The following is a 14,475-nucleotide window of genomic DNA, read 5'->3' as shown; positions in this document are numbered from 1 at the left end:
TTTGGGAATGAAGGGTATTTTTTACTTTTAAATGCTTAAGAGATAATTTGACTTCATTGAAAAAGGCAATCTTCCTACAGGTTCTTTTTATACTGTCCCAAATAAACAGTGCTAAGGCTAAAGAGACTATTAATAAAGGGAAACTAGCAGTCCAGTACAGGAAGAGTCAAATGATTCCTTTCCAGAATTCGGAACTGTGCTCTCATTACCAGTTGAATTAATTACTGGTCCTGGAGAGTTCTGGAAACCAGAGCTTCTTGAAGTGCTTGTTAAGGAAGGTTTGTCTTTAATACACAGGGAGACAATCAACAGGATCAGCAAAGCTAAAGCCTAACCTCTCAGACCGTCCTTTAATTGAGCTGGAACAAGCTTTCCTGGACTCTCATTCTGATTTAGGGCTCTAGGTGGGCCTAAGGTACTCTAGCTTGGTCAGTACAGCCACACCAAATCAGCAAAGAATAGAAAATACTACCACTTCCCGGGACAATCAGCAAAGATAAGGATATCAAATTCATGCCTGTGTCAGTGAAAAGTAAAGATTATGTGGAAACCACAGATAGGTTTAAAATAAAAGGTTCTCTAAAACTCTAAAACGTCTTATCCAATTAAAAAAAAATTCTTGCTATGCTAGAAATTTCCTTTGTAAATTCAGTTAGTTCTTTGCTATCCAACAATGCATTATCCTTACACATCCTCCAAATACCCTCTCCTCTTGTTCCCTCTATCTTTGCTCTGCATTTATCTGAGTCTAGGGATTTTGAGGCTCCTGATGTCCATTTAGGCTCAATTACCAAGAAAAGGTCTTTCAGACCAACATATCTGCCAACTCCACCTCTACTGAAGAGGTCAGAGAATACATAATAAATTTAAAGAGAAGGCAGTTGAAAGCAAACCATGTTGAAAGGTTATGTTTGTATAGCCTACAGAAAACAGGAATGTAGCAGGGAAGGAAAAATGGAGATTTTTCAGACTGTGGCAACATTACTTTAACTTAAAATTATTACCGTCCAGGCTGACAGACCCAATTTTATTTGAATGGATATTTAAAGGGCATTAAAGAGCTAAAGCAAAGTGATTCATTTGCCCTATATTGGGAATTATTTGTAGTACTGATCTCTGTTCAGAGAGATGACTATGGTGGTTATTATCAGAAACACCACTCCCTAGTAGTGCCAAGCAAAACACTGGCTTCTCTTAATCTCATTTTCCCTAAAAACACATTCCCATAGAAACCACAAGAGCAAGTTTGGAGAAAAGATCAACGTAACTTCAGAATTAGTGAATTTGAAGGCCAGTCAATGGAGACACTCATTTAGACTCCTCTCTCAAGGCAAGACTTCTGCTTCTGTATCTCGGCACCCCCAACCTATCAAACTTTCTCTCTCTTTTTAATCAAAATGCTCTTAAAGTCCTACCTTCTCTTTGAAGGAGACAGTTTGGTTAGTTTCTGTTACCTTATGCTTGTTGTACTCTTCTGTACAAAAATGTAAATAATATAGATAAAGTCAAAGTCCTCTTTGCCATGTATCCTCCCTCAATCCAGTCTCCTATCCAGAGGCATGGGCTTGATGAACAGCCTTCCTTCTAGGCCAAATTCTATACATTTACATAAATACATGCTAGAAAGGCAGTTTTATGTGATTAAAGAAAAACACAAATGGTACCATATTGTACACTATTTTATAACTTGTTTTTTCCACTCAACATTTTGTCATAGAGATCTTCTCATGGTAGTGCAACTAGAATAATCTAATTTTTAAAAACAGTTGCCTAGTATCCATGGTATAGAATTTCCATTTTATTTAGCCATTCCCCTACTGATAAACATTTAGATTGCTTACAGTTTATGAAATCAGTTTAGCAGAAATTCAGAAAAGTGGAATTGCTGATTAAAGGGTATATGGATTTAACATTTTAACACACTGCCAAATTGTCCTCCAGAAAGACTTTGCCAATCCCACTGTCACTAAGAGTACCAGACAATACCCATTCATCCTCTTCCACATTTTATTACCAAGTTTTCTCTCTTTTTTTTTTCTTTTTCTTTTTTTTTTTTGAGACAGCCTCACTCATCACCCAGGCTGGAGTGCAGTGGTGTGGTCTCGGCTCACTGCAACCTCCACCTCCCGGGTTCAAGTGATTCTCCTGCCTCAACCTGTAGTTGGGACTACAGGCATGCGTTACCATGGCCGGCTAATTGTTTTGTATTTTTAGTAGAGACGGGGTTTCACCATGTTGGCCAGGCTGGTCTTGAACTCCTGACCTCAAGTGATCCACCCACCTCAGCCTCCCAAAGTGCTGGGATACAGGCATGAGCCACTGCACCCAGCCTTATTATCAAGTTTTCTTATTTTGGCTCATCTGATATGGGGGAAATGTTTTCTTATTTTAATTTCCATTACTAGTGAGTTGACAATCTTTTTATATATTTACTGGTTATTTTTCCTTTCTGTGAACTGCTTATAATGTTTGCTTATTTTTCTAATTATCTTTTTCTTATGAATATGAAGAAAATATTAATCTGCTCTGGATATTAATTGTCATATAAATGTAAATATTTCCTTAGTCAAGTTGTATCCTATGTAAGTAATTTATATGGCTATTTTCTTCTCTTTAGTATTTCTGAATATACCCTTATTCTTTACTCACAATATGCCATGTTCTATTTAAGAACACATCCAGTGTTTTTATTTGTTACGTATATATTCTCTCTTTCTTTTCCTTTCTTTTTTGAGACAGGGTCTCGCTCTTTTGCTCAGGCTGAAGTACAGTGGCATGATCATGGCTCACTGCAGCCTTGAACTCCTGGGCTCAAGTGATCCTACCACCTCAGCCTCCTGAGTAGGTGGGACTATGGATGCACCACCATGCCTGGCTAATTTTTAAATTTTTAGTAGAGATGAGGTCTTGCTGTGTTGCCCAGGTTGTCTCAAAACTCCTGGCCTCAAACCATCCGCCTACCTCGACCTCCCAAAGTGCTGGGATTACAGGCATGGGCCACCACATCTGGCCCATATATATTCTCTTAATTTCATTATGCCTACTAAACATGGAAAGACATCATATATGTAAACATTTTTTGATAATTTCAGACAGTAAGAAGAGCCTGCTTTGCCAGTAAATTCTGACACTACAGTATGGAGAAGCAGTTTGGAATTGTGATCCATCATAGTGGTTCTCAAAGTTGCCTGCATGCTGGAATCACTTGGAGAGTTTAAACATTGCAGATGCCTAGATCCATCCCTGAAGACTATGACTTAATTGGTCTGGAGTGTGGCCGGGGCACTAGGATTTTAAGTTCCCTAGGTGACTCTACTATGCAGCCAATTTTGAGAACCACCAAACTAAAATACTTTTTATCCAGCCCTTTTCAAAAAAATTTTGTAAAATAATGGCAAAATACACATAACATAACATTATCATTTTAACATGTACCATTTAGTGGCACTAAATATGTTCACAATGTTGTATAACCATCATAATTATTTCTAGGACTTTTTTTTTTTTGAGATGGAGTCTCACACTGTCTCTCAGGCTGGAGTGCAATGGTGCCATCTCAGCTCACTGCAACCTCCACCTCCTAGGTTCAAGCGATTCTCCTGCCCCAGCCTCCCGAGTAGCTGGGATTACAGACACCTGCCACCATGCCCGGCTAAATTTTTTTTTTTTTTTAGTGGAGACGGGGTTTCACTATGTTGGTCAGGCTGGTCTCAAACTCCTGACCTCGTGATCTGCCCGCCTTGGCCTCCCAAAGTGCTGGGATTACAGGCATGAGCCACTGCGCCCGGCCTATTTCTAGAACTTTAAAATTATCATCTCAAACAAATTCTGTGCCCATTAAAACGATAACTCCTGACTTCTACCTCCCCATGGTCCCTGGTAACTTATATTTTCTTTCTTTTTTTTTCTTTTTTTTTGAGATGGAGTCTCTCTCTGTCACCCAGGCTGGAGTGCAGTGGCGCGATCTCGGCTCACTACAACCTTTACCTCCTGGGTTCAAGCTATTCTCCTGCCTCAGCGTCCCCAGTAGCTAGGATTGCAGGCACCTGCCATCATACCTGGCTAATTTTTTTGTAAATAATACAAAAAAATTTTTAGTAGAGACGGGGTTTCACCATGTTGATGAGGCTGGTCTCAAACTCCAGACCTCAAGTGATCCGCTTGCCTTGGCCTTCTAAAGTGTTGGTATTACAGGCATGAGCCATCATGCCCAGCCACTTCTATTTTCTATCTTTATCATTTTGCCAACTCTAGAAACCCAATATTTTCCTTCTGTGTCTGGCTTATTTCACTTAGCATAATGTTTTCTACTCTTTGGGTAGAAGAGGTGAGACCAATGTTTTTTCAAAACAGAACAAAACTCTCAAAAAACCTAAGCAGATAACTGACTGACTGTTTTGTAAGTAAAACATCTCAAAAGCCGTGTGAATAACTCCTTCCTAATGAAGCAACCACTCTGCTGAACATTTCAGAAGGTTTACCTGAAACTGCTGTAAATTACTATCCTGTTGCATCATCATGCCACGGGAATATTAAAGCAACAAAGATTGCCCCAATGACAGTAAGAGGAGGGCAGTAAGTTCAAGGAAGGTGAGGGAAGGGAGAAGGGAAAGAAGAGTGGATTTTAATCAATAATACCGCCCAGGTCTTTCCAGTGATGATTCTTCTATAATTATATCTTTGCCTGGATGTCTTCTAATACAGATTCCAAAGAGATTTACCACCTCCCAAGAACAAGAGATGCCTACAGGACCCAAGTCTGGTAAAGAGCAGAACTGATTTTCCACTAGCAAAATCATAATTATTGCTTAAAGACTCTGCAAGAAGCTATGCAATTCCTTGAATTCAAAGCATAGTCTGAGAAACAGCAGCATTGGCATCACCTGGGGGCTCACCAGCAAGGCAGAACCTCAGGCCCATTCCAGACCTACTGATTCCTAATCTGCATTTGAACACCACTTCTCAGGTGACTGCTGCACACTCTGAAGTTTGAGAGGAACTGACTTAGCCCATCCACTAGGCCCTGGTCTGTAGTATCCTAAAAGAAATTTACTAACCTGACTTTCAAAATCTGAAAAAGGAGACTTCATTGTAAATGAATTCTGGGGTTACAGAACCTACCCCAAACTAAGGATCCCTTTTGCTAAGCTTTATCTCAACCTCCTCCAATTCTAAAATAGATATGGAGTAAGTATAGAATAAGTTCCAGCCACTATTCTTAAAGGTGCCTAGAAATCCAAATTTTCATTTTAATAACTAAAAATATCATAGAGCTATGTAGTTTTCTAACGTGCAGACCCACCCCCCACCCCCCTGCCAAAATGAGGACTATAATCCAAGTCATGGCACCAAAAGAAGAGACTAAAAACTTTAATATAGTTATAATAATAAAAACAGAAACTTTCCAGGTAAAACATCCTATTTACTAATAAAGAATCATGCTTTCAACAAAACAAAAAAGACAAAAGACAAAAACCAAGAGAGCTGCTTCCTAAAAGAACAGAGCATTTAGTTCTCACAGAACTGCAGACATTGCTATGTACAATTTTTATATGTGTAGGAGACAAGTTTGAGAGTTTTGGGGCAAGTAAAAAATTCTTTTAAAAAGTAAATGTTGGCTGGGTGCAGTGGCTCACACCTGTAATCCTAAAACTTTGGAAGGCCAAGACCGGCAGATTGCCTGAGCTCAGCAGTTCGAGACCAGCCTGACATGGTGAAACCCCTTCTCTACTAAAAATACAAAAAATTAACCTAGCGTGGTGGCGTCCGCCTGTAATCCAAGCTACTGGGGAGGCTGAGGCAGGAGAATCGCTTGAACCCAGGAGGTGGAGGTTGCAGTGAGCTGAGATCGCACCATTTCACTCCAGCCTGGGCAACAGAGTGAGACTCTGTCTCAAAAACAAAAACAAAAACAAAAAAAGTAAATGTTTAGTGCAGACTAGCTGAAAGAGTCAATCTGAATAATGAACACAATACAGTTTTATACAAAAAAGATTTTTTAAAAAGCACTGGCAATATGAATGCAGCCCTAAGTTCTATCTGTCACTAGCTTGCTTCATAAATTTCATTTTCTATTTATGCCTCAATTTTTTTTTTTTTTGAGACTGCGTCTCACTCTGTCGCCCAAGCTGGAGTGCAGTGGTGTGATCTCGGCTCACTGCAACCTCCGCCTCCCGGGTTCAAGCGATTCTCCTGTCTCGCCCTCCCAAGTAGCTGGGACTACAGGCATGTGCCAGCACACCGGGCTGATTTTTTTTTTTAAATTTTTAGTGGAGACGGGGTTTCACCATGTTAGCCAGGATGGTCTCGATCTCCTGACCTCATGATCTGCCCACCTCAGCCTCCCAAAGTGCTGGGATTACATGCGTGAGCCACCGCGCCCGGCTATTTATGCCTCAATTTTCAATCTGAAAAATATTTTGTTTTCGTAGACACCAGGGAAAAGAAAAAAAAAGCCACCTGTGTTGTCTCACTTAATTGTTGAGAAAAATTAAAATTCTTGGTTCATGAACTTTCTCTAATAAAGCATGGCTGAGAGATGGTATGTTCAGGTTATTCAAAAATGAATATAGGCAATACATATAATTAACATTAATAATTAGTAATAATACCTTGGTGTGATGCTTTAGTTTTCAAAACATTTTCCTACACCAAATTTTATTTTTCTTCCTCTAACTCCTTAAGGTAGGAGGGCATATATTTCATCAGAAGATGAAAGTGAGAACCATGGTTATATGTAGTAGAATTGAGACTAGAGAATAGATCTTCTCACTCTGAGTTAGTATTCTTTCCAATAAATCATGCTAACCTTCTCATTTATAAAGATACAAAATAGTGCAACACATAATATTAGAACAATATTGAATATAATTTACTCTCTTTAGATGATTCAGAATGTATCTTAGGATCCTATATAGATTTCTAAGTTAGGGTCATCAATATCAAGTTATCTCTATACCATTAAGTGCAGATAAGATGATTAATAGAGTTGTCTGGTTAACCCAAGTCTATCTCTATTACAGTCCAATTTGATAGTTCTAGAATTTTATCACTTCAAGGAAGCCATAAATTACCCACATGTTCTGAAATCTAGAATTAATGTCCAGTAAAATGTACTTGTTCTTTATGGCTATAAGCTATATCTGAGCTCTGCTTCCTTGACTATAAAATAAGAATTTTTTACAACACACATACACACACACAGAAAGGTGGATTAAATGAGATGCCCCTGTAAAGAACTTAGTAATGTGCCTTCCAACACACAGTATCTATTTAAGAGGAAAATAAGGGGGGAAAAAGAGAGTTGTTGACATCTTCATGTTAACATAAAGTAATCTTTGCGTAAAACAAAGCAGAAACATTATCAAACTTTGCACTTTATTTATTTATTTTTATTTTCTTTGAGACGGAGTTTCGCTCTTGTTGCCCCAGGCTGGAGTGCGATGGCATGATCTCGGCTCACTGCAACCTCCGCCTCCTGGGTTCAAGCGATTCTCCTGCCTCAGCCTCCTGAGTAGCTGGGATTACAGGCATGTACCACTAAGCCCGGCTAATTTGGTTGTTTTTTTTTTTTTTTTTTTTTTTTTTAGTAGAGACGGGGTTTATCCATGTTGGTCAGGCTGGTCTCGAACTCCTGACCTCAGGTGATCCACCTGCCTCGGCCTCCCAAAGTGCTGGGATTACAGGTGTGAGCCACTGCGCCCGGCCTAACTTTGCACTTTAAAATATTCAAGTTTAATATAAAATAGGAAAATAGTTTTTTGTATTTCTATTATAAAAGCAATTCATGCTTATTTAGATAAAGAAAATGAAAATCACCTATAATGCCACCATGTGTAGATAATTAGTGTTAATATTTTAATGTACATCCCTCCAAGTTCTAAACACACAGAGGTGGGCATATTTTATGTTAATGTTTTAGAAAATGAGATAAATCAGATCAATTCTGTGTTCCCAGATTAAAAAAAAAAAAATCTCCCAAAAGAAAGAGAAAAATAAAGCCCTAAACCCCTCAAACTACAGTATATAAGAAATGCTACTTTACAATCAGTTTTTTTTGTTTTTTTTTTTTTGAGATCGAGTCTTGCTCTGTCACCCAGGCTGGAGTGCAGTGGCATGATCTCGGCTCAATGTAACCTCCGCCTCCCAGGGTGAAGCGATTCTTCTGCCTCAGCCTCCCGAGTAGCTGGATTACAGGGGCGTGCCACCACACCTGGCTGATTTTTGTATTTTTAGTAGAGACAGGGTTTTGCCATGTTGGCCAGGCTGCTCTCGAACTCCTGACCTCAGGTGATCCACCCACCTCAGCCTCTCAAAGTGCTGTGATTACAGGAGTGAGCCACCATGCCCGGCAGTGTTAAGATTTTAATGTGCATCCCTCCAAAGTTCTATACACACAGAGGTGGGCATGTTTTATGTTAATGTTATAGAAAATGAGATAAATCAGCTCAATTCTGTGTTCCCAGAATTTTTTTTAAATCTCCCAAAAGAAACAGAAAAATAAAGCCCTAAACTCCTCAAATTACAGTATATAAAAAATGCTACTTTACAATCAGTTTTTTAATTTAACATACCACAAATATAATTCACTGCAATAAAGAGCAAATCATCATTTTTAGTGTCTAACAGTTCACGGAATCATCTCTTTTGGGCTATGCTGCTCGTCTTCCTATATAAATTCTAAACACCATCATAATTTAACCAATCACATTGTTCCCAATTTTCCTATTGTAAGCATGCTGTAATAAACAATGTACATCTGTGTTTAACTGGAGGGCATGATACACACCTTTTAGACTTTGATATGCATTGCCAACCTGCCATCTAGAGAAAGTGTACCAATCTGCATTCTCACTAACAGTGTATTAAACTGCTTGCAGTCCCATACCCTTGTCTATCTAGGTTTGGGTGGAAATAAAACCCTCCTTTTACTCCCATTAATAGTGAAAGTCTTTAGGATCAATTATAAAAGAGAGCTATTGGCTGGGCGCAGTGGCTCGTGCCTGCAATCCCAGCACTTTGGGAGGCCAAGATGGGAGAATCACTCAAGGTCAGGAGTTCAAGAGCAGTCTGGTCAACGTGGTGAAACCCTGTCTCTACTAAAAATCCAAAAAAAATTAGCCAGGCATGGTGGCGCATGCCTGTAGTCCCAGCTACTCAGGAGGCTGAGGTGGGAGAATTGCCTCAATCTGGAAGGCGGAGGTTGCAGTGAGCCGAGATCGTGCCATTGCACTCCAGCCTGGGCAACAGAGTGAGACTCCATCCCCAAAAAAAAAGAGAGACAGAGACAAAGAGGAGCTATTTAGCTCAAGTTAAGAAAAAAGTATTCAATGAAAACAAACAACAATAAAACGTTGAGGGGGGAAAATGCCAGGATCCAAATACTTGGAAATTCCCATTCAATTGGGAGCTGGGTTTTTCATCATCCTGCTCCCTCTTCCTCCTCATTTGTTTGTTTTATTTTATTTGTTATGGTTGACTTTTTAGTCATCATCTTTGGTAAGAAGGGGAAAGAGGGAGCATATGATAGAGAAAATGTGCACCTCCAACAAAGTATCTATGAGTTTGACAACTGAGATCCAGCTCCTCATTCACCAGCACACCAAGCTCTACTGAGTGTGGTTTTGACAAATATGGAAAACAACACTTTCAAATGTCTTACCTCCAAAATGATAATAACTAAACTGTTTGCTGACTTTTGTGGCCAATCCACGATGATATAATATAATCAAAACCTCAGACTGCTTTACCCTAACACACCAAATGTGACAAAGAACAAAAAATACCCATCACAGGAGAGGAGTTTACCTAACACAGTATTAGAAACCAAAGGCTTAGGCAGTAGATGTACTTTACATCTGAGACAGAGTAGATTCTTCACATCAACTAGATAAAAATAATTCACTTTATGTTTTCTTTACTTGAACCAGTCAGAATGCCTCTAGAAACAGAATAATAGAAACTGTAAAAAGACAGTAAAGAAAAGTTTAGATCGGGGTGTCCAATCTTTTGGCTTCCCTAGGCCACATTAGAGGAAGAATTATCTTGGGCCACACATAAAATACACTAACATTAATAACAGCCAATGAGCTGAAGAAAAAAAAAACGCCAAAAAATCTCATAATGTTTTAAGAAAGTTTACGAATTTGTGTTGGGCCACATTCAAAGCCATTCTGGGTCACATGCGTCTTGCGGGACGTGGGTTGGACAAGCTTGGTTTAGATATGCTTTCCTTTCTGAACCACTATTTAGAGATCCTTCCAGTGTCCACAGAAAGGGCTATGAATCCAACAATCAAAAGATCACTATTTAGGTTTATATTTATAAAATATAGTATTACTTCAGACCAAGTTGCTGGTTCAGATGGAATAAAAAATAAAAGTGCCACCCCTGAGCAGCAGCGTCAGCGTCCACACTGAGTAAACAACTGCCCAGGGGACTTGCGATCCTGTTCCCCACCACTGCGCTTAACTCATTTTTGCTCTAACTCTGAAGTCATTTACTGAACAGATACTATTATTTAGATAACATGTTATTTCAGAAGCTGAGCAGCTATACTGAACAGAAGTAAAGGACAGAAACTAAATTCCTGAAATTCTAGCTGGGGAGACCACAAATAAGTATACAAGTTAATAAATGAGACAATTCCAGGTAGTAACAAGTGTTATACAGACAAGAACACAGAGGATGTATTAGTGGCTTGGTAGGGAGAAGAAAGCTTCATTTAGGTGGGATAATCAAGAAAGGCTTGTCTCAGAGGTGATATTTGAGCTAGACTTTGAATAAGATAAAGTCCATCATGCAATCATCTGGGAGAACAATACTCAGGCAAAGGGAACAGCAAAAGCAAAATAACGGATGCAGGGTGTTTGAGGAAAAGAGGGCTACAGTGGCCGCAGCCCAGTGACTGAGGGGAAGATGATGAGGCAGGAAGAGGTCAGATTACATAGGGCCTTCAAAGCCATGGCAGAGTCTGAATTTGATTCTAGGAATAGTGGAAAACCATTACAGGGCTTAAACAAGGAAGTGATATGGCCTGAATTAAATAAATAAATAAATTTATTCATTCATTCATTCATTATTCACTCATTTATTTGAGGCAGGATCTCGCTCTGTCACCTAGGCTGGAGTGCAGTGGCACAATCTCGGCTCACTGCAGCCTCAACCTCTGGGGCTCAAACGATCCTCCCACCTCAGCCTTCCAAGTATTTGAGACTACATGCATACACCACCATGGCCCCAGCTAATTTTTGTATTTTTTGTAGAGACAAAAAAAATACCAGCCTGCTGCCCAGGCTGATATCGAACTCCTGGACTCAAGGGATCCTCCTCTTGATTACAGGCATGAGCTACAACGTCCGGCATGATTTAAGTTTTTTAAAAAACTACTATGATGGCTACATGGAGAATGGACTGCAGCAGACCACAGTGGATAGGCTATATGAGAGATGCTAAAGGCTTGGACTTGGGTGCTGATGGGAAGTGAGAAGAATGGCCAGAGTCAGGGTACATTTCAGAGGTGAACTGACATGACCTGCCACCGGGAGGGTGGCAGGGGAATGTGGAGGGAGAGGGCAAAACAAGGAAATCAGGATTACTTCTATACTGGGACTTGAGCAACCAGATGGACAGTAGTTCGATTAACTGATATGGGGAACGCCTGGAGAGGAACAGATGTGGAGTGGAGAGTAGGAACAACCAAAGGTTCTGTTTGGGGCGTGTGAGGACCAGACATCTAACAGTGAGGGTAAACTGGGTGAAAACAGCATATCGATGATCAGGTAAGAAGAGGAAGAGGGGCCCCAGAAGGGATGAGGGGAGCACCTAGTGAAGGATGAGGATCTTCAGAAGAGGGTGTGGTCAAGAGACAGAGAGAAGATGCTTTAAGGAGTAATCAACTATGTCAAATGCTGCTGAAGACTGAATAAGATAAGGAAAAAAACCTGACAAGTGGATTTAGCAAGATAGAAGTAAATTAATAAAGAAATAGGGTGGGCTGGGTGTGGTGGCTCACGCCTGTAATCCCAGCACTTTGGGAGGCCGAGGCAGGCGGATCACATGAGGTCAGGAGTTTGAGACGATCCTGGCTAACACAGCAAAACCCCATCTCTACTAAAAAAACAAAAATTAGCCAGGTGTGGTAGCCCGCACCTATAATCACAGCTATTCGGAGGCACGAGTAGCGCTTGAACCCAGGAGGCGGAGGTTGCAGTGAGCCAAGATCACACCACTGCCCTCCAGCCTGGGCCACAGCTCGAGACTCTGTCTCAAAAAAAAAAAAAAATAATAATAATAATAAATAAATAAATAGGGTGGGAAAATATGTTAAAAAGGTGTTTGATTTTGATGAAGCTAAACTAAAAATATATAAAGGGGATAATTTCATAAAAATTACTAAGGTATGCTGATTTATCATGCTAAGTACATTTTTGACTTCCCTTCTTAAAGGAAGAGGAAATCAGGCTGGCACAGTGGCTCATGCCTGTAATCCCAGCACTTTGGGAGGCTGAGGCAGGAGGATCGCTTGAGCCTAGGAGTTTGAGATCAGCCTGGGCAACACAGTGAGACCCTCATCTTTAGAAATCGTAAAATTTAAATAAAAATTTTAAAAAGGAAGAGGAAATCAACGACTCAGAAGACTGTCACTCTGACTTTTACATTCTTGCGGAAGGAAGCTGTACTTAGTAATAATTATGGAAGTATTTAGAATTTACATTGAAAGAGGAGCAGAGCAGCCCGAGGGCTAAAAGTTTACTTGGCTACCTTGACTGTGATTCATTAAACTCCTAATGTTCTTTTGTTCAGACCAACCCCAAGCTAAAAGTTTTTTTGTTTTTTTTTAAATCCAACCCAAAGGCCCAAGTGAAAGGGAAAAAAAAACTGCCAGAAGAAAGAGGAGACCACAGCCATGCCCTTGGTTGGGAGCACTTTTCTGGCACTATAATGTCTTTTCCAAGGCTGCTACTGTTTCACTACAAGACTCCAGTCAGCATCTCACTCCCTGGTCAGATCACTGAGGACAAAATGCAGAAAAGTGATCAGAGGCCCGCCCACACCTGTGCCACTTGTCTTTGAGTCTCCTCCTCACCTCCCACCCCTCACCTGGGTCATTTTGTCCACAGAGACTGGAATTCCGTCGATGGTGAGAGGCGGCAGTTCTGAGTTAACCTCCTGTGGCGCAGGGGCGTGTTCTGCCAGAGCAGACTCCAGGTCTTCCAGGATCATGCTCTTGTACTTACGCACCTGCAGGGAATTAAGGGCAGAAGTAAACAAGATGCCCAACAACCAGGGAGGATTGGTGCCAAGCAACAAGAGAGTGGGTGGGGCTGGCCTTCCTGAGCCATTGCATAGCCTTAAAAACAAACACTTCTACAAGCAAATAAAAATACCCACTGGTCCCAAAGACATCATACTGAACATAATTAAATGAAAAGATGATGAAATTGCAGGTAACAACAATAGAAGAGAGCCAGTGAAAAAATTTTCCAGAAATACTGCTTCTTAGTCAAAATCACATTTTCTCAATGAGGGTGCCATTGCCTGTTCCAGGTCTAACAGGCATGGTATTCATGGTTCTGCATTTCCCAGGCCATTGCTTGAACAACCAGCTGTGGCAGCTCATCACCAAAATCATTTTCAAGATCTTCAAGGACTTACATTTCTAAAACTTAAAGTAACCAATTCATTCAAAACTGCTGCTACATTCCTGCAAAGCCAGACTACCAAACAGACAGGAGATTCAAGCATACAAGAGACTGGACTGAAAAGAATCAGAGAAAAAAAACTGATAGGTGTATGTTGTAGCTGAGTGCCACTACTGGTAAGGCCCGGGCCAAAGGGAGCCCCATAGGTCAAATCTCCCTTGCTTCTGGTAGGGCTTGGTGACAGAAGTGAACCTCCAACCCATGACGCCTTTAGCTCTAGCCCAGGTTGGAACCAGATATTGTTGTTCGTTGTCTGCATTCCCACTACTGCCAGTTACATGTCTCAACTTAACAGTAACACACTGGACATGCACACATTCGATCATGAACAGAAAGGGTGGACAGACGCTGGGTCTTCCAACCACCAATATAATGGGTTCATCTGAATGCCTGGAACTTGGGAGAGGAAAAAATGGGTTCATTCACTTAGGAGAATACACAAGGGGTATGAGGATACCTCTGGGAATAACAAAGAAGCCATGGAATTATGGAAATGTGACAAGTGGGCTAGGAAATTAACTTGCTTTCTGGGCTCAAGGCACTATTTTAGGGAAACAAATGGAAGAGAAAATGAGGTTTGACTAGAAGTTCCAGCAATGTTTGAATCCTGGGTTGTCTGCTGAGTGGGCTGGACTCTATACACTTCCTTATAAATACCTCATTATGTGGATTAAAAAAGAAAAATTCCCATACTCTACCCCAAGCATCTGGAAAAATAAATATTATTACTGGCTACATGGTGCAACTTCTGCAGTTGAAGAATCCTCCAAAT

The 14,475-nt window shown here is 40.5% G+C and overlaps 1 protein-coding gene across 4 annotated transcripts in view; it reads right to left on the bottom strand.

The window, feature by feature from the left end:
• The window catches only part of NRF1 (nuclear respiratory factor 1), a 145,357-nt gene that overhangs the window by 53,429 nt on the left and 77,453 nt on the right, over positions 1 to 14,475 (bottom strand). For all 4 annotated transcript variants that reach the window (NM_001293163.2, NM_001293164.2, NM_005011.5 and 1 more), the window contains one exon: positions 13,102 to 13,242. In NM_001293163.2, the coding sequence (NP_001280092.1) occupies positions 13,102 to 13,242 (141 nt within the window). The remainder of the gene's footprint in view (positions 1 to 13,101; positions 13,243 to 14,475) is intronic.

This window comes from Homo sapiens, chromosome 7, assembly GCF_000001405.40.
Source record: "Homo sapiens chromosome 7, GRCh38.p14 Primary Assembly".
Classification (NCBI taxonomy): domain Eukaryota; kingdom Metazoa; phylum Chordata; class Mammalia; order Primates; family Hominidae; genus Homo; species Homo sapiens.
The sequence above is the reverse complement of the archived record's forward strand: the minus strand, read 5'-3'. Positions and strand labels throughout refer to the sequence as shown.